At 43.4% G+C, this 20,630-nt stretch overlaps 2 protein-coding genes across 12 annotated transcripts in view; one reads left to right on the top strand and one right to left on the bottom strand.

Moving 5' to 3' along the window:
• The window catches only part of CTPS2 (CTP synthase 2), a 124,912-nt gene that overhangs the window by 54,023 nt on the left and 50,259 nt on the right, over positions 1-20,630 (top strand). For 9 of the 10 annotated variants that reach the window (NM_019857.5, XM_006724503.4, XM_047442260.1 and 6 more), the window contains one exon: positions 19,645-19,741. In NM_019857.5, coding sequence (NP_062831.3) covers positions 19,645-19,741 — 97 coding nt within the window. Of the gene's footprint in view, positions 1-5,498; positions 5,683-19,644; positions 19,742-20,630 lie in introns of those variants that run through there. The other variant, XM_047442262.1, reaches the window with a different exon arrangement.
• Positions 4,218-8,730, bottom strand: S100G (S100 calcium binding protein G). Of its 2 annotated transcripts, none has more exons than XM_017029841.2 (3): positions 8,685-8,730; positions 7,747-7,985; positions 4,218-4,483 (listed from the first exon to the last, which is right to left on the bottom strand). In XM_017029841.2, exons 2-3 carry the CDS (start codon positions 7,879-7,881, stop codon positions 4,379-4,381), a joined length of 240 nt encoding a protein of 79 aa, XP_016885330.1. In that variant the 5' UTR covers positions 7,882-7,985; positions 8,685-8,730; the 3' UTR covers positions 4,218-4,378. The 2 variants fall into 2 exon arrangements, with proteins under 2 accessions (XP_016885330.1, NP_004048.1); NM_004057.3 differs by having other exon boundaries at positions 7,747-7,889.

The raw sequence follows: 20,630 nt of genomic DNA, 5'->3' as shown, positions 1-20,630 counted from the left end.
CCTGGTGCTCACAGTCTCATAATGAACTAGGAAGACACCAGTACTTCTTAAACAAGAAGAATATCTTCCACAAAGCAGTAGCCAACAGTAAAGTTCATGGTGAAATAGTAAGGGATTCTTATTACAACTAGCAACAAATAAAAAATGTGCACCATCGTGAACAAAACAGTTGTTAAAATGAGACCAGCAAATGCTCTCTGGGAAGTGAAGCTGGCGTTCTCCTTCCTGCCTGTAGAGTTATGAATCCATACAACCTTTTGGGAAATCAGTTAGGTGGTCTGTTTGACAAACCATACAAATATCCATACCCTCTGACTCAGACATTTACTTCTCAGAAATTCTCCTAAGGAAATCAGAAATGTTGACAGAAATATGAATAGGTACTCATTACATTTAGAAGAATTAGAAATGACAACAATCTACTCATCATAACATTTGGAAGAATCGGAAATGACAGCAATCTAAATGCCCCACAATGGGGAAATAGTTAAGATTATTATGGGGTATCTGTACAGTGGAATGTAATGAGTCATGAGAAATGTTTAAGAGTTTTAATACCATGAGAATGCTCTTGTGTTGAATTAGAATGATACAAATTGTATTTAAACAGTCCCTCAACTGTTTATAAAAATCTCCTCTGTTTCTTGGTGGGTTAGAAATCACCTTTTTTTTTTTTTGAGATAGAGTCTTGCTCTGTCACCTAGGTTGGACTGGAGTGCAATAGCACAATCTTGGCTCACTGCAACCTCCGCCTCCCGGGCTCAGATAATCCTCCTGCCTCAGCCTCCCGAGTAACTGGGATTGTAGGTGTGCGCCACTATGCCTGGCTAATTTTTGTATTTTTTGTAGAGACAGGGTTTCACCATGCTGCCCAGGCTAGTCTTGAACTATTAGACTCAAGCGATCCACCTGCCTCAGCCTCCCAAAGTGGTGGGATTACAGGCGTGAGCCACTGCGCCCGGCCACCTTTCTATTTTTCTGGTTAACTTTCTAAATGTTTGAAATGGCTTCCAATGAATTTCATTTTATTATTGGGGGAAACTTCCACACTTATTTTCTTTCTTCCCAAATCTCCACAAGTATACTCTCCTCCCAAAATTTAGATAGTTGTATTTTTCTGATTATTCCAAATAAGAGTGCTGAGAGGCTAATCACAAAGAGCAGCAGCCAGAGATTTACAAAGTGTTCTCTTACTATTGAACATTTTCACTTATTCTTTTTGATAGGACACACATCCATATGGCTCAGAAATCAAAATGTCCAAGAATTTGTCAAGTGAATAGTGGCTCTCTTATTCCTGCCCCCCCATCTGCCCAGTCCTCTTGAAGCACGTAACCAATGATAATAGTTTCTACTGTGCACTTGCAGAGATTTTCCAGGAAATTTCAAGCACCTTGCCTTCCAAGTCACTATATACCAGCTACTCATCTCGTGCCCAGTTCACTTTGGTCACCCTGTCCCCACCATCCCTGTGCTTACATCAACCGGTACTTCTCTCTCTCTGAGCTCAAACACCCCAGAGAGAAGCCTGGCCCTGCCCAGCCTTTTATGGGTAGATGAGGTGGGAGCATGGGTACGTGTTCCTTTGCCCACCTCGGAGAGTCATCCAGCTTCTGGAAAAATGATAGCAGCCAACTTGACAGAAGAACCCAGCATACACATTCAAGTTCATTAGATTAAAAAAAAAAAAAAAAAAAAGGCCGGGCATGGTGGCTCATGCCTGTAATCCCAGCACTTTGGGAGACGAAGGTGGGTGGATTGCTTGAGCCCACGAGTTTGAGACCAGCCTGGGCAACACAGGAAGACCCCTGTTTCTACAAAAAGTAAAGAAAAAAAATTAGCCAGTCATGGTGGCACATGCCTGTAGTCCCAGCTTCTTGGGAGACTGAGGTGGGAGGATCACTTGAGCCCAGGAGGTCAAGACTGCAGTGAGCCCTGAAAGTGCCAATGCACTCCAGCCTGGGCTACCGAGCAATACCCTATCTCAAAAACAAAACAACAACAAACAAAAAAACACAAAAAAACCCTGAAACTAAAAATAAGTCAAAGGCAGTACTTTGCAGGCAGTTATTTTCAGCTTGAAGGTAGAGCCGTATAGCAGAATCTTGGAGAGGGCTTATGTTGTTTGAAACGCCTTCAGTATCATCATTTTCTACACTTTGAAAGTGGAAATGGGCCGGGCATGGTGGCTCACGCCTGTAATCCCAGCACTTTGGGAGGCCGAGACGAGCGGATCACAAGGTCAGGAGATCGAGACCATCCTGGCTAACACGGTGAAACCCTGTCTCTACTAAAAACACAAAAAGAAAAATTAGCCGGGCGTGGTGGCGGGCACCTGTAGTCCCAGCTACTCGGGAGGCTGAGGCAGGAGAATGCCGTGAACCCGGAAGGCAGAGCTTGCAGTGAGCCGAGATGGCGCCACTGCACTCCAGCCTGGGCGACAGAGCGAGACTTCGTCTCAAAAAAAAAAAAAAAGGAAAGTGGAAATGATCCCATATCTTTCTGATGTTAACTACAGAAAGTATAGTGTGGCAGTCTGGGCTCTAGAGCGCGAGGTAAAAATAATAAATGGCTTGAAGAACATTGTTCAAAGGCATATCATGTACAATTGGGTTTTTGATGGGGAGGGCAGCAGTGGGGTTAAAAAAAATCTCATGTCTAAAGCACAGATATGTGCACAGCACATAAACAGATGCACAAGACATCTCTGGAGTTAAAATTTCCTGGGGGGTGGCGATTAGAAACAAGTGTTTAACAAAGCTCCTTAGGAGGTTGATAATGGCTTAGGAAAGGTTGAGAGAGGCCGGGTGCGACCTGTAATCCTAGCACTTTGGGAAGCTGAGGCGGGTGGATCACCTGAGATTGGGAGTTTAAGACCAGCCTGGCCAACATGGTGAAACCCCGTCTCTACTAAAAATACAAAAATTAGCTGGATGTGGGGGTGCACACCTGTAATCCCAGCTACTTAGGAGGCTGAGGCAGGAGAGTTGCTTGAGCCCGGGAAGCGGAGGTTGCAGTGAGCCAAGATCGTGCCACTGCACTCCAGCCTGGGCGACAGAGCAAGACTCTGTCTCAAAGAAAAAAAAGAAAAAAAAAGAAAAAGAAAAAAAGAAAGGTTGAGAGAGACTGTTCAAAGGCAATGGGACCCAATACTGATACTTTGATACTTCATGGGTGTTTTGCGGAGGAGAGTTGCGAGGATAAAGAAGAAATAAAAATCTAGCTTCCGGGGCACTGCTGTGACCAGGCTATTAGGGTCAGCTTGAGCCATTGGTAACTTGGACAAACTTGAACGTTAACATTTGAACTCTTATCTGGTAAGGGGTAGCAGAAAGTTCCCTTCCCTCCTTGAACGTTAACATTTGAACTCTTATCTGGTAAGGGGTAGCAGAAAGTTCCCTTCCCTCCTCTGCACTTCTTGCCTCCATATTCCACACTGTTGTCACTTCACCCCCTGCATCCCCTAGCTGGACGCAAAAAGTGGAACTTGAACTTGAGGGCTGGCTGTTTTCTCAGAATACAGGATGCCAAGAGTTGAGAGGGCCCAAGGTCTTCCTGTGATCTTTTATATTACACGTCACATGCCAGTACCATGGCGTTAGGCTGGTAGACCCGAGGCCACCCGGTCAGTGATGAGTGGGGCCGCCTCTAGGTCCTGTGTTCCTTCTGTTCCCCGTCGAGGGTCATTCATTAAGAAAGCACAGCGAGTGCTGGGAGATAGCATGACGTCAACTGTCTGTTTGTGAAGTGTTTTTCTTGCTCGCTAGTGGATAGTGTGAGATCAGAGTGGAAATTGGAGATGACCTGAGCACTGAGGAGTTAAGGAAGGAGAGCAAGCAACAGGGTGATTCTGGTGGAAAAGTGGAGCAAGGGAGTTGGTTTGGCATTTCTGGATTCTTTTCAGGTCTCCCACACCATCTTTGTAGTTTTCGGCAGGATCACAGAGCTATCTTGGCCCTCACATTTTATTTTTTTATTTTTATTTTTATTTTGTTTTATTTTTAGACAGGGTCTCCCTCTGTGGTCCAGGCTGGAGTGCAGTGGCGTGATCATGTCTCACTGCAACCTTGACCTCGGGGGCTCAAGTGTTCTTCCTGCCTCAGCCTCCCTCTCTCTCTCTCTCTCTCTCTCTTTTTTAAATCTATAGAATTAGTTGAATCAGACTAAGGTTACTTTCAAGTCTATTATGTTATGAGGTCAGTACTTAACAAAGTAAGGTATGTCTAATAATTTCTTTATTAATAATAACTGAACCTCACAGCCAGGTTATTATAATTGCAAAGAATTAAACCAGAGACTTTGGGGGATTCCACATAGGATAAGACCACAGCACAGGCGCTCTTCCTCCAGTGCTCAGGGTTCTATTTTGTTTTCTCCTTCACTGGGATATCTTTTTTACTAATACTTGGAATTCTTCAAAACTAACTTCTCCATCTCCATTCTTGTCCAGTTCTTGAAAGAGATCATCTAGGGTGTTTGGACCCTGTTTTACATAAAAAAGGATGGGAGAAGGGAGGGGAGAAAAAATGAATCAGTTACTGCTACACATTCTCAGAAATTAGAGGCCTTGGGGTCTGTGTGCCAAGAAGGCAGCTCAGGTTTCCAGTGACATGCATCTAATAGCTAACAGAGAGAAACCAGCTTTAGCTGTTGTATTGCTCCGTGTCATAGAACTGGCTACCTTTTTGTCCTCCATATCACACATCTGTTATTTTAATACAATGCGTATTTTAATACAGTTGTTTTCTTATGCGATCTTGGGTCTTTTTCTTTATGCCTCTAAAAACATTCTTCTGAGAAGGGATCTGTGGGCTTCACTGGATTGCCCACGGCACACAAACAGTTGAGGACCCCTGCCCCAAGGTTTTCCTGGAAGCTGGGTTTGTCTCCTGCTCCAGGGCTAGGGCTGACATATTACATGAGGCAGCAGGCAGGGAGGGCTCCTTCTGTAATCCTTCCGACCACCCTATGAGGGAGATCTACTTTACAGGTGGGGAAACAGGCTCAGAGACAGGCAGTCACTTACTTGAGTGTCCACAGCTGGTTAACAGAGGGGTTGGGGTCCACACGTTGACTCCAGAGCTCAACCCCTTAACTAACCACCGCCCAGTTTTTCCCAAACGTTGAGCTATGCAAAATGACTTTGGCTCAATGGTTCCCATGCTTTAGCATGCATCAGAATCACACGATAGGCTTGCTGACCTTAGTAAATACAGACTGCCAGCCCCACCTCCAGAGTTTCTGATTCACTAGGCCTGGGGTGGGGCCCGAGAATCTGTACACAAGGTCTTGCTCTGTCACCCAGGCTGGAGTGCAGTGGCATGATCACAGCCCACTGCAGCTTCCACCTCCTGGGCTCAAATGATCCTCCTGCCTCAGCCTCCCGAGTAGCTGGGACTAAAGGCGTGTGCCACCACACCTGGCTAATTTTTTAAAAGTTTTAATAGAGACAAGGTCTTGCTGTGTTGTTCAAGCTGGAGAATCTATATTTTCAACAGCTTCCCAGGTGGTGCCAATGCTGCTGCTCTGGGACCACACTTGGAGAACCACTGCTTGAGATGTCGTGTGAGATCGTGTGCAGGCTTTTTGACTACTGGACTTCCTGCAGTGTCTTAAGTGGAGTTAATTTTTGTCTCTACCATAAAACTCTAATCTTAAAGCCATTACTACTTGGACTTTCAGGTAGGAGTCTATCTGTGCAAAATACTACTTAGAAAACCGATTGAAATAACAGTTCAGTTTGTCAGTTTCAAATTAGACTATATTATATATATATATGTATATATAAATTGTGGTAAAAAACACATAACATTGAATTTACGCTCTTAATCATTTTTAAGCATACAGTTCAGTAGTGCTAAGTAGATTCACAATTTTGTGCAGCACATCTCTATGGAAGATATATTTTAACCCCTAAGATTCCTACAAAAACACTTAGCACTTTGCTTTAATTACAAGACCAAACTGTAAGTTACTTATTCAGCCTTTGATTTATGAATATGAAACACTGTTTTCCTGAAGCCTTTACTAGATTCTAAACCATGCATGGTGATGATATATGTAAACAGAGTATGGTGGAAAACCTTAGTAATGGAAACCTTATGGGAATATAATCAGGTACATGTTAAGTAGACTTTCAGAACTTACCATTAGTCTTCCTACCTCGTTCCAGATTATGTCTTACGTACTTTTTGTAGGAAAGACATAAAATATAGAAAAAGTTACCCGTGTTACCTTTTGAAACAACTTGTTTGAGTACATGGCCTAGGCTTTCCTGTTAGATGATTATTTTTCTTCCTTTTAGAAAAAATAAAGGGTCTTTTAAAATTTTAAATTTTTTCACTAACTTGTTTTGCTGTTTAATTAAAAAGTCCCTTTTTCTGCTAGTGACTTTAAGTGTTTTTACAAGTTCTTCTATATTTCAACTATGAGAAAATGAGAAAATATCAGATTCTGGGGTCATTGAATTCAGCTTTTTTCTTTTTTAGTATTAAAAACAGAAGTCTTTCCAATTGTCATATTGGCAGAAGGGACATTTCTGGTTAAAATCTGGAGAGCTGGTTAAAATATTTGAAGAAATGTTCTTTCCTGAAGTTAGAGCTAAATAGTGACTGAGTCATACAAAACAATTCCATAGTCACTTCTGTTGTGAAGATGGTTTTTAATTGCAAAATGACAATGACTCTCTCCTTTGAGTCCTCTGCTCGACTAGGCCTGACCTTGGGCTTCCCTCTCTGTCCTTGTATCTGACTACCCTTAATATTTGATCACCTGGCCTGCCTTCAGCTAGAATCCTATCAAGGCAATTTAGCCAGAAGCTCCTTATCCTGGATATTTCCTTGGTAATTTTCCATCCACTGGCCCCCCCCATCCTGCTCTATGGTCATAAACCCCCACTTATCCTTTCTGGAGTTGAGCCCAATCTCTCTCCCCATGGCAAGAACACGTTTCAGTGGTCCCTGTATGGGTCGCCATGGCCCTCCTGGAGTAAGTTGCCTTACCATCCTTGGCAAGTGTCCTGACTCAGCTTTTTCTTTAGCAAAAGGAAAGACAGTACTGTATATTGGAGTGAGGACGATCAGCTCTTCTCTGTACTCTGTTGCCTTGAATGCATTTTGATTTTGACAACTCTGGGGTGATTTTGATGTGAAACTTTATGGCCCAGGAAATTTAGTCCTTTCTTGAAAGTTGTTTAGAAATGCACGGTTGCCTCATTAACACAAATTTAAGTGATGAACACAAATGTAAATGCTTTTGAAATATAAATGAGTGCTGACAAGGCAATTTGTCAGTGGGTTTTCCTAACAGACTGCTAAGTAAGTGTTGGTCTTGTTGAGGGATTTTACATACACAAATGAAGCCTGTCCAAGGCCAGCTAACACTATTTTGCAGTCCTCTTTGTTTTCCTAAAGCCTGGCACAGAAGTACTGAATCCATGCTGAAGGCCTTATTGGGTTTGCTTGGTGACTTGTGGGTCTTCCAGGCATAACTTGGCATTGCTTCCATTTATTATGGCTAGTCCTGCAGAGTCCTGTGCTGAGGCTGCAGGAGGGATAGAAGGCTTGGCCCTTGTTTTCTGAGAGCTTGCCTTCTGAAATGTGGCCTGACTTAAGGGGAAGAAACCCCACCTGCATGTGTCCTCCCTCAAGCGACGGTCCCTATAAGGCTCTACCGGAGTCCTCTCCCCTCCCTCCCTCCCCTCCCACCATCAGTCCCATTAAGTGGGCTCTGCGGATGGCCACTTACTTTGAGTAAACTGGGGAATTCAGCCTGAATCAATAGCTTCAGTTCATCCTTTGACAACTGGTCTGGATCACCTTCTTTGGCTGCATATTTTTCAAAAATCCTCTTCAGTTCCTCAGGAGACTTTTTAGTACTCATTCTGGTGTCTTATAAATTGGGAAGAAAATAAACTTACCAAAAAGCTGAAGTACAGTTTTGTGCTGAGGGTTGTCTGCAGGATTTTAGTGCCATTGGGCCATTTCCTTGGCATAAATGGGGAAGAATAAGGAAAAGAGAATGTCGGGGTCGGAATGGCACCAGTAACTACTAACATGTTTAAAAAATAAGCATCTTAGGCCAGGCACGGTAGCTCATGCCTGTAATCCCAGCACTTTGGGAGGCCAAGGAGGGTGGATCACTTGAAGTCAGGAGTTCGAGACCATGGAAGCCTGGCCAACATGGTGAGACCCTGTCTCTATACAAAAATTAGCCAGGCGTGGTGGTGCGTGCCTATAGTCCCATCTACTTGGAAGACCGAGGCAGGAGAATCGCTTGAACCCGGGAGGCGGAGGTTGCAGTGAGTGCGATGCCACTGCACTCCAGCCTGGGTGACAGAGCGAGCCTCCGCTGCAAAAAAAAAAAAAAAAAAAAAAAGACATCTTAGATAGTATGTTAAATGTCTGTTCTTAGAGTACATCTGTTAGGAGATGGTCCCTGGAGCCAAACATTTTTATTAGTAATTAATGACATTCTACACTTTTTATGTACCTGATCTGCACTCTGCAGGCTGTGGTCTTGAAGAATACTTGACCACAGCTTCTAGCTTCTAAGTTACAGGGAATATCTCCAGATGGCATAAACTCACCTTCTCTCCAGACCATTATCTTTCACACCATTCTAAAAGGAAGCAGAGTATTAATGCAAACAGAAGGAGCTCTAGGTAGTACCAAAATCACACTAACCTGGTTGCCCAATAGTGAAACAGCTAGAAGAATCAAAGAGGAGTTTGAAGAGCTGAGCAGAATCATGACACTTTTATAGTCTTTACGGGCACGCCACCCTGATTATGAAAATTTCCTTTTGTTGGCCATTTAAGGGTAATTATTAATGGTTTTTGAAACTCAGGCTTAAGACTGCATGAACCCCATAATTAAGGGCAAGATCCAGTAAAGGTCCATCTCGACAGTTGCTTCATGGTTCAGAGTCGTAAGCTTGGATTTTTTTCCCCCTGAGATTATATTTTCCCTCCAATGTAGAATTATATTTGCTCACAGTTCACATTTCATAAAGCTTAGATATAGAGGATTCTTTTCAATTTAGTTGCATATTTAGGCTTTAAAAAATAACTTTCTTCATATCCAGAAAAAATAAATGCTGCCCTGTGCGGTAGCTCATGCCTGTAATCCCAGCACTTTGGGAGGCCGAGGCAGGAGGATTGCTTGAGGTGAGGAGTTTGATACCAGCCTGGTCAACACAGCAAGACATTTCTACTGAAAAATTTAAAAAATCAGCCAGGTGTGATGGTACATGCCTGTAGTCCCAGCTACTGTAGAGGCTGAGGTGGGAGGATTCCTTAAGCCTGGGAGGTTGAGGCAACAGTGAGCCATGATTGTGCCACTGCACTCCAGCCTGGGTGACAGAGTGAGATCCTGTCTGTAAAAAAGAAAAAATGCTGTCATAGAAGGACAATATTACATAGTTTAAAAAATTACGGTATGGCCATTGAAGTCCTTCTGATGTCTTTACATATTAGCAGCTTAAATATTTGAATACATGAATGAATGAATGGAAGTATTGCTTCAGAAGCAGGTTTAAGAAGTGGAAAGAAGATACTCAGTAATTTGTGGTTTTATTTGGCAAATCAATATTGAGTAACATGGTCATTTTTTCAGCTCTTTCATTATTTGTTGGTCCTGTGTCTGCTTTTTATTTCTCATTATCCTTTTCCTTACCAAATATATTTCGTGATCATTCGAAAAACTTGTGAGAACACTCGACTTACTCTTGTTCAGTTGGAAATACTTCAAACTTTTTGTAACTGCCATGATTTAAAATTGCCAAGGAGATTGATTTCTACTGGAAAGAGTTCCATGAAATAAGTAGGACATTTCCAAGGGACATTGATCTAATGCTGATTGTAACTCACAGGAAGGGGTTCCAGGTGGATTTTAAGAGCACTTTACAGCTTTGAAACACTTGTACACTTCCACACTTATAGAATTTTCCCTGACTCTGCCTTATATCACCTACAAACTGAGGACTGGACTATTGGGACTGTATTTCTCCCTGATGTTTCTCAGCTCTAAAATTCTAGGGCCTTATTTACATTGGAGAACAAATGGGAAATCTAATAGAATTCCTTAAAAGCTTCCCGCCAGTCTTGAGCATTTATCATTCCATGTGTCTTTGCTGTCTTGTATATATTCTTCTTGTTTTTATTATGGATTCTTTGACTTTGCTATGCACCAATATAGAATATGTATTAACTCACTGGTTGGAGTAAAGACAGGCATTTTATTTTTAGTTATAAGATTTTACACAAAAATATTCTGATTTTGGCAATGCATTTTAATCAAGATTTTAGAAAATTGCCAGTGTTTTTACACATATGTTCTGTTTTCCTGGGAGGAAGTAGGCGTTTGTGCTTAATCATAACAAGAACTATCTTTTTTTAAACATCTTTTAAAAAATATTTCAGATCTACAGAAAAGTGGCAAGAATAGTGCAATGAACACCAGTCTGCCTTTCGACTAGATTCACTAATTGCGAACATCTCCACATTTGCTTTCTCTTTCTCTGGACAGATACTTTCCTCCACCCCTGAGTCATTTGAGAATCAATTACAAACATCCAGATGCTTCCCCCCTGAGCACCTCAGCATCTGTCTCCTAAGGACAAAGACATTCTCCTATGTAACCACAATGCCATTATCATAGCCCACGTCAAATCTCTCCAATTGTTGAATAGCATCTTAAATCATCTTTTCTCTCAAATTACCACTAGTGAGCTAAAATCAAATGGGGTGTTTATTATGTTTTGCATCTGGTTTTTTTGTTTATTTTTTTGAAGCCACTTCACTGTGTCACTCAGGTTGGAGTGCAGTGGCGTGAACACAGCTCACTGCAGCCTCAACCTCCATGGGCTCAGGTGATCCTCCTACCTCAGCCTCCCGAGTAGCTGGGACTACAGGCATGTGCCACCATGCCCGGATACATATATATATATTTTGTGTATTTCTTGTAGAAAAATACAACATGGGTTTTGCCATGTTGCCCAGGATGGTCTCCAACTCCTGGGCTCAAATGATCTGCCCGCCTCAGTCTCCCAAACTGCTGGGATTACAGGCGTGAGCCACTGCACCTGGCCTATTTTTTGCATCTGAAGAAATGATTTTAATAACTATATGTCATCTTAGTAACGATATAGGATGAAAGATAACATGTTCTATATAATACACCCATATATTACATATGACGTGTGTATGTATATATAAAAATTATCTCTAAGAAAAACTTTTGGAGCAGTATTGGTTAATAGTCTTCTAGGCTACAAATCTCTTCTTTCAAGGGACAACTTCTGATTAGAATCAGCCCAATGCGGCCGGGCACGGTGGTTCACGCCTATAATCCCAGCACTTTGGGAGGCCGAGGTGGGCGGATCACCTGAGGTCAGGAGTTCGAGACCAGCCTGACCAACATGGAGAAACCTCATCTCTACTAAAAATACAAAAATTAGCCAGGCGTGGTGGTGCATGTTTGTAATTCCAGCTACTCGGGAAACTGAGGCAGGAGAATTGCTTGAACCCGGGAGGTGGAAGTTGCGTTGAGCTGAGATCCTGCCATTACACTCCAGCCTGGGCAATAAGAGCGAAACTTTGTCTCAAAAAAAAAAAAAAAAAAAAAAAAAAAAAGAATGGGCCCAATGCTGCCTATTGTCAGAATTTATACTTGTAGCGAATGCTAGCAAAACTTGAACTTGAAAAACAGCCTGTGCGGCTTCTTAAGTTTTTACTTGCTCACTTCTACCAGTCACATCTCTTGTCTCTTATTTTTCTCTTTACCCATAGACTTAAAAGCATGAGGGTAAACTTGCACTTGGAAGCATGAAAAATCCACTAATAGATACTCTTGTGAAACATTAACTAAAAATATATGGAGACAAGTGATAATTACAGGGTGTGTTCACAAGAGTGCGTTTTGAAACCAGAGAAGGGGGGAAACGACAGGCACAAGGGTGGTAATGGGAAAATGGAGAGGCAAAGGTTATTTATCACCTCACTGTTCAATTGTTTGATCTTTGGACAGGCTTAATTTTTCCTAGGAAAGCCAAGAGTAACATATTTTAAGAGCTCTGGGCACCACAGGCTTCTGTGGGTTATTCTGCTTGAAGGTGACAGCATGCAATGTCTTGAAAAGCACCTTCAGGAAGAGGGTACAGTGTTAGTACCTGGTCCCTGCAAAACAAAATGGGTGTGAAATGCTATCCATGGGTTCTTGTTATCTTTGATCCTGAAGTTTAAAAGAGACCTTGAATACTCAAATGCTGCTTTCCCAGAAAGTATAGCTTGCTTGTCACCTGACCTGGTGTCTACCTTCCCTGGACCTTCAGACAAAGTTCACTTCCAACCTTTGCCTGGGCTGTGAGGCTCACTGTCTTTTGGGTCAGCCTGTGCTCACCTTCAGCAGTTGAGTTCCCAGAGGTCTCCTGACCATAGCCTGTGCTTCTTGAGTGCGTATCTTTACTATGGGCAGTGTGCTGACCTAGGCACCCAACTCCCACGGCCTCCTTAAATCCTTGCTGCAACTTTATGAAGTGGATGCTGTTGGTCCCCCCAGTCTGTAGAGACATCCAAGGACCTGCTCAGGGTCACACTGCTGGTCAGCAGTAGAGCTGGGATTCAAGTTCAGGCCCAGCCTGCACCCTCAACCACCGTGCCACATGCCCCTCCCAGGAGAAGGGCTTCTCTGAGGACAACCATTGTATGTTAACATTAGGACCACAGGTAGTATCACACTTAAGTGTTAGGTTTACATCTGGAGGTATAAGAAGGTTCTTTTTCTGAGGTGTAAGAAAGTTCTTTTCCTGATGAAAATGATATAGGCCTTTGTCTGTTTTGCACTGCTATAACAGAGTACCTGAGACTGGCTAATTTATAAAGAAGAGAAATTTATTTCCTCACAGTTCTGGAGGGTGGCTGGGAAGTCCCAGATCAAGGTGCTGGCATCTGGTGAGGGCCTTCTTGCTGTGTCATCATGTGGTAGAAGGCATCACATGGGTGAGAGAGAGGGAAGGGGACTGAACTCATCCTTTTACCAGGAACCCATTCCCATGATAACTAACCCATTCCAATGATAATGGCATTAATCCATTCATGGGGGCAGAGCCCTTATAACTTAATTGCTTCTTAAAGATTCCACCTCTCAACACTGTTGCACTGAGGATTAAGCTTGCAACACATCAACTTTGGGGAATGCATTCAAACCATAGCAGCTTTCTTTTACTGGTGGGGAAAAAAACAAGTTTAAAAGACTGGAAAAATACATACGTACTTATGGGACTGCTCATTGATTTCCTCATTGTAGATTCCATTCTCACACTACTTGGTGACACAGCAGCGCAGGTTGGAAGCCAGAAATGGGAAATAAACTGCTTCAGGTTAGAGGCAGGACTCTGTCAGGCAGGACTGGGCATAGTGTGTACTCGGCCTCTGAGTAGGGCACCACCCCTCCCTTCCCGTCTGCTGAAGAGACTCACCTGCAACTTGGGACATCCATGAGTATCTCAGACACCCCTCTGCTACTCTGTGGCCCACTGACCCATCCCTTAGTCTCCCCTGTTAGTTTTTAATACACTTAAAACACTGTGAGATTCCAGGCCGGGTACAGTGGCTCATGCCTGTAATCCTAGCACTTTGGGAGGCTGAGGCGTGTGGTTCACAGGGTCAGGAGATCGAGACCATCCTGGCTAACACGGTGAAACCCCGTCTCTACTAAAAATACAAAAAAAAAAAAAAAAGTTAGCCGGGCATGGTGGCGGGCGCCTGTAGTCCCAGCTACTCAGGAGGCTGAGGCAGGAGAATGGCGTGAACCCGGGAGGCGGAGCTTGCAGTGAGCCGAGATCGTGCCACTGCACTCCAGCCTGGGCGACAGAGCAAGACTCCGTCTCAAAAAAACAAAAAACAAAAAACACTGAGAGATTCCATTATTGAGTACTTGATCTGAACTTGACACTGTGTCGAACTCCTCAGTGGAGATGGAAAATAAAAAGATCTAATCCTTGTGCTTGATGAGCCTACACTTAATTTATGAGAGGAGATGCATTTATGAAATAATAGAGGAAGTTAAAGCTGTTTGTAGTAAATAACGGTATTAGATTCCTATGGCTGTTGTAACAAATTACCACAAACACAGTGGCTTAAAACACATATACATTTCTTCTGGAAGTCAGAGATATAAAGTGGGTTGGCAGGGCAGTGTTCCTTCTGGAGGGTGTACGAGAGAATCCATTTCCTTGCTTTTTCCAGCTTCTAGAGGCCACTTGCCCACGGCCATCCTCCATCTTCAAAGCCAGCAGCATAGCATCTTCCAGTCTCTCTGATCTCTGCTTTGTGGTCATATCCCCTTTTCTGACCCTGACCCTCCTGCCTTCCTGTTTTAAGAGCCTTTGTGGTTACAATGGGCCCACCCTGATAATCCAGAATCTTCCCTTCTCAAGAGCCTCAATTTACAGGCTGGGCATGGTGGCTAATTCCTGTAATCCCAGAACTTTGGGAGGCCAAGGCTGGAGGATCATTTGAAGCCAGGAGTTCCAGACCAGCCTGGGCAACATGGCGAAACCCCATCTCTACAAAAAAATACCAAAAAATTAGCCGGGCATGGTGGCATGCACCTGTGGCCCCAGCTACTTGGAAGGCTGAGGTGGGAGGATCACTTGAAGCCAGGAGTCAGAGGCTGTAATGAGCTATGATCATGCCACTGCACCCCAGCCTTGGAGACAGAGTGAGATCCTGTCTCAAAAAAAAAAAAAGATCCTCAACTTAATCACATCTGCAAAGTCCCTTTTGCCACAGATTCATAGGTTTCAGGGACTAGGATGCGGATATCTTTAGGGTAGGGGAGGCATTATTCAGTCTCCTACTATGAGTTACTGAAAATGAATTGATGATGTATAGGTTATTTATTTGGTAGGCTGAGCATAACAATGGCATTAATTATGAGGCAGTAAGGGGAACTGGAGGGGGCCCCTAAAGCATGAGGAATGGGAGGGAGAAGGTATCTTGGGAAAAGTAGAGAAGGAGGTGGTCTGTGTGTAGTATGGTGGTGGGTAGGAGAGTGGAGGTGCCATTGACAATGGCCCCAGCTAGCTGTGGTAGAAGCTACAGGTTCGAATACATGAGGAGGGCATGGCTAGTCTGGGCTCCTGTGTGAGGTAGGACCTGAGAGCCACCCAGAAGAGTTTAGGTTTAGTCTGTAGTGATGGAGGCTGCTGGAGCTAGCAGTGCAACCCAACATTAGGGAAAGTAATGCTGATGTAAAACTGCTTGATACTTTATGTACAATTTGAATATGACTTAGAATCAAAATCAGAATCAGGCTTGAAAACCTAATGAGCAGTAGGAAAGGAATGAATTGGAGAATACTTGTAAAGAATACTAGAGGAGGCCGGGCGTGGTGGCTCATGCCTATAATCCCAGCACTTTGGGAGGCTGAGGTGGGCGGATTGCTTCAGCCCAGGAATTCAAGACCAGCCTGGGCAACATGATGAAACCCCGATGCTACAAAGTGGAAAAAAAAAATGCTAGAGGAAATTGCTGTATGTTGCCTAAGAGTCTGGAAATAGAAATAGCTGCTGGTGAGTAGGCTTTCCCTTTGTCTCCAGGTGAAATATTCAACGATGAGGAACAAAAGGAAAGCTGGGCTTACCAGGGTAGGTCAGGTAGGTCCAGTCAGGAATTTCACTGTTGCTAAGAGAACCTAACTCCTGTAGACTTTGTTGTTTAAGGCACCTGGGATGCTGTAAAGTCTTGAACTCATTACACTTTTATTATGGGCTGCAGAAAACATCAGTAAAGGTTAATTAGTGCCATATTTATCCTTACATGCTGATTTTACATCTCCTAAAGCTTTATCACTTATTGATCCTTTTTTATTTTTCTCATACTATATGGCTCAGTTCCAAGAGAGGACAAATCTGGGGATCAGATGACAGCCAGTATTTAGGCTGAATTAGAGGAAGCAAAGGCAATCCTTTTGCAATGGAAGATGCGTTTTCCTTTCAGATGCAAAAATCTAGAGTATTTTGGAAATGTTGGTGTTAAATCTAAAGCATATTTGAGATTATTTTCTTTAACCACCCCAGTAACAATAAAATAGATATGTTTTGAAACTGTGATGTTCTCCTGTCTCTCAGGCTTTTAGTGGAAGGAATGCAAGGAACAAAGACATTTTTGTTAATTTTTGCTGCTGAATCAGGTTGCTTATAACCCAAGAGGCAGCCAGCCATCATCATCTTGTAGGATCCAGCTTGTAGGATCATCTGATAACTCTGCAAGGCAGCTGGTGTGTCAGGCTTGGGCACCATAGTCTCTGCCTTGCCCTGACCTTCCGCTTCCTGAGTGTTGGGGTTCCACCAGCTGGTGCCTGGCAGCGTTCTTTGCCTGAGTATGTGATGGTGATTCCCAGATGAGATCTCCTAAGCTAGGCCCACACAGAACCTTCCTGTTCCCTCCCTCCATCAGCGACTTGCCTGTCAATTCTCTCCCTGCTTTTCTCCTTTCACTGATGTTCAGGGCAACATTTGGTACTGGAGACCTATTTTCACCTGCTTCCCACCTCTTCTCTAGCATTTTTTGCCTTCTCCACTGGTTCCTACGCTAGCATGTTTTAATCAGAGGATCACAGTGGCATTTATACCTTGGATTTTCTTTCTGTGCTATCATTTCAGGAGAAGGTAGCGTTTATTACTTCTGAAAACAGCAGGGATAATGTGAACTAATACCCTAGTGTAAGGCCTAAATACTACATTTTACTCTTGATGACTTAAACTTGTATTTTCATTAGTAAAATACGATGTGCAAAGTTTAAAAAGCCAACAGTTCTGAAAAGCCTATAATGACAAAGTCATTAATCCTCACTCCCTCTGTACCACTCTTTAGCTTCTTCTAGCTCTTTCTCTGTGTTTGTCTCCATGTTGCTAAATAATCTCATAGTATTCTTTGAGGACTTTTTAGACTTCTCCCGCTTTGTTGAAGGAGTTTTTAATGCTCTTAGGCAGCCCCTATGCCCACTGCATTTTCCTTCTCTCCCCACCTCCCACCCCTACACTTGACTTTTGGAAATATTTTCTGGTCTTCAAGTGTTTGTCAAGTTCATCCCAAGTAAGCAGTAAGGCAGATTTCCTGTTCTTTTTCTTTTCTTTTGTTTACATTTTTGAGACAAGGTCTTGCTCTGTCATCCAGGCTGGAGTGCAGTGGTGTGATCATAGCTCACTGCAACCTCCGCCTCCTAGGCTCTAGCAATCTTTCCACCTCAGCCTCCTGAATAGCTGGGACTGCAGCCTGTGCCACCACACCCAGCTAATTTTTGTATTTTTTGTAGAGACCATATTGTCCAGGCTGGTCTCGAACTTCTGGCTCCAGTGATCTGTCTGCCTTGGTCTCCCAAAGGGTTGGGATTGCAGGCGTGAGCCACTGCACCTGGCCTCCTGTTCTTAGTTGGCTAATTTTACTCTAATCTCAATGCTTCATACCAGAATATTTCTTGAATACCAACCTTGCCAGTAACTGAACAAACTACATGTAAAGACTCTTCTTGGGTATTGGGTATTGGGACCCAACACAGTGAGGAAGACTGAAGAGTCGTAGTGCACTTCTATCAAGAAATTAGGGGAGGTTATCCCTGTAGTCTGCCTAGATGGTTCAGGTTGTCTGAAACTTAAATGGAAGTTGAGGCTCTGAATACACGTAGGACTTCTGAATCTGTGGCAGGTGGTGCAGTCTTACCTGATTTAGAGAATACATAGAGAGGCCAGGCATCTATGTGCAACTCAGCTTCATCGGCCAGAAGTGAATGCCCTATCTCACCTCACTCCAGTAATACTTAACCTAGCCATAATTAGCTAACCAAAGATAGGAACAAGATGCCAAGGCCAAGAGCACTTGAGAATTGAGCAGTCCATCTAACAAGGGAGGTCATCGAGTTTCTTCTCCACCCTTTCCCTGAAGTAACTCTTGGAGCAAGCTTGGGACACTGTGTTCAGATGGCTCGGAAAGTTCTGGGGCACTGATAAGATCAGACATTTTGTTGGGAATTTTTTACCTCAGAAAATTCCAGTTGTCAAAGATTCCTGTAGAGCAATATGTGGCAATTACGGTATGGGAAAAAAACAACAACAACAAATGAAAGGTTTTATGAGAGGGAAGCTCAAGCAATTCCATTAGAACAGGTCGACTCACCCAACTGTAGTCTGTTCTAACAACTTTAAAAAAGAAGATGAGATGAAACCATGAGATCGTAGTGAACAGAACTGAGAAAACAGATGAATTACGAGACTCACCAGGATAGGCTTTTCATAAAAATCACCTGTTTCTCAATTTCTGCAGTGCGATTGTGATCATAAATATAAAGCCACTCCGGCTCTCAAAGATTGACTGTCTCTCCCACAAAGCACTCGCCAGACACAAACTGAGAGAAAGGCAGGGATGGGGAAGAACCTCGTTCTGTGAGGGCACAGAGAGAGGACCCTGACTCAGCTATGGCTCCCAGAAATACCAGCTCCTGGAGTGGCTGATGTTGGATAGTGGAGCTAAGATTTCAGGGTTAAGCATGGTTTCATTTAGGAAAAGAGGGCAGAGGAATGGGAGGAGATTGTCCAGGCAGAGGGCACAGTGTGGGCCAAGTCGCCACGGCGGGAGGAAAGGAGATGCAGTTGAAAAACTCAAAGAACCAGCACTCAGGGTGAGAGGGGCAGGGAATATAAGATAAGGCTGGACGGTTAGGCTGGCCTGATACCATGAGGTCAAGGGTTTCAAGCAGGAAAAATGCCGCACTAAGATTTGCTGTGTGAATAGACCACTCTGCCTGCAGTAGGTAGGGTGTGCTGGGGCCATGGGAATGTTGAGTGGCCAGTCAGTGAGCCATTGCTGTAGCCTGGGAGAAGGCTGGAGAGAAGTGGATGGATGCGGGAATTCTGGAGGGGATAAATCCACAGGACTTGACAGAGTGGCTATGAGGGAGAGGGAGCGATCAAGGGTGCCACTTAAGTTTCCGACCTACAGAGTGTGCTAGACTGGATGATACTTCTTTCTTTCTTTTCTTTTCTTTTCCTTTTCTTTTCTTCTTTCTTTCTTTCTTTCTTTCTTTCTTTCTTTCTTTCTTTCTTTCTTTCTTTTCTTTTCCTTTTCTTTTCCTTTCTCTTTCTTTCTTTCTTTCTTTCTCTTTTTTTGGAATCCCTCTAATGGTTTTCTATAAATAGGTTCTTTTGGTATACCTTTCCACAGTACAAGTACTGATAGATTTGCTTATGGAAAATCTTTAGGGAATGCACTGGGCAGTGGGGGAAGAGGGTTATCATGAAAGATGTGAACACCGAAGTGGGAGGCCTCAGCAATCCAGATCTCGAAGTGTGAGGACTACTTGGAACTGATGGTTTGAGTAATGGCAGGAGGGACATCATCAAGATGCTCCTGATACATTGTTTTATAAGTGATTTAAATGAAAGATGAGAAGCAGATGGAAAGGAAGTACAATGTGCAGTGTGTCTATGTCATGCCTGTATTTGAACATGATCGTTGGAAAGACTGATCAAATGTTATAGTTTAGGGACCATGCTTACCCAATGATCATTCCTTTAAACGTAAAGCTTGAAATTTGGGAAATGACATTTTTACAAGATGGCAAAACTGGACTTGTTTTGTTTTCTAAGGTGATTGATATGCCCGAGCACAACCCTGGCAATTTGGGAGGAACAATGAGACTGGGAATAAGAAGAACTGTTTTCAAAACTGAAAATTCAATATTAAGTAAGTTTCCCATATTGTTTATTTTACAAGATGTTGGATGTGGCTCATGTGACTGCAGGTGCCCAGCACTCTGGGTGGTGGAGACTCCCCCTGCCCCTTCCAGCATCCTCGGAGGGCCCTGATTCTCTCTCTTCCCATCTCCCCTGCCCTCACTGACCCTCTGCTCTGGGCATTCTTCTCCCTAGTAAGCTTGTCCCTTGGGCTGGCCTCAGTAGAACACACTGAATGCCCCTCCGCATTTGATCTGCGTGACTCCCTGTTCATTGGGCTGTTTTGTGAGTTACCGATGCTCCTGGAGATGAACTTGGACTGGGACTTGGACTGATTCACACTCAGTTCTTTTGAATCCACAGTTCTCTCCATTACATTTGAACCGGTTCCCTGTTTAATGTCTGTTTGCCTGGTCTTAGTGACTCACAAATGAACTTCCGAGTAGGAGGGCAGTTATGCACCTCAGAAGCGTATTTCTCTGTTCCCTGGCAGCCCCAGTGTGGGGAGATGGCTCGCCATTTGATATTTGCTGATCTTTCCACTCCCCATAAGGTTAATTCTAATTTCTGTGGAACTTTTTCATAAATTAGCATATTATATAAGAATAACTTATTGTTTAAAACAAACTAAAGCCTTTAATTCAATTTAATAAATGTATCTTGAGTGCCCACTCTGTGCCATGTGCAGATATAATAGTGACCAGGACAGATACCAGCCCTGCCCTCCTAGGGCCTCAAAACAAGGGGAAGAAATGTGACAAAAGGGGAAGGCAGATTGCTAAGGGGACCGGATGCAGAGAGGGAGCTCAGGAATTGTGAGTGTTCAGTGTCATTTTCGTGAAATTATAAGAATCCCTTAGAATCCTGTGAAGTTATAAGAATTCTTTTTTTTTTTTTTT

The sequence above is a fragment of the Homo sapiens genome, chromosome X (assembly GCF_000001405.40).
Source record: "Homo sapiens chromosome X, GRCh38.p14 Primary Assembly".
NCBI classification, from domain to species: domain Eukaryota; kingdom Metazoa; phylum Chordata; class Mammalia; order Primates; family Hominidae; genus Homo; species Homo sapiens.
This window is presented reverse-complemented; position numbering and strand designations above follow the sequence as displayed.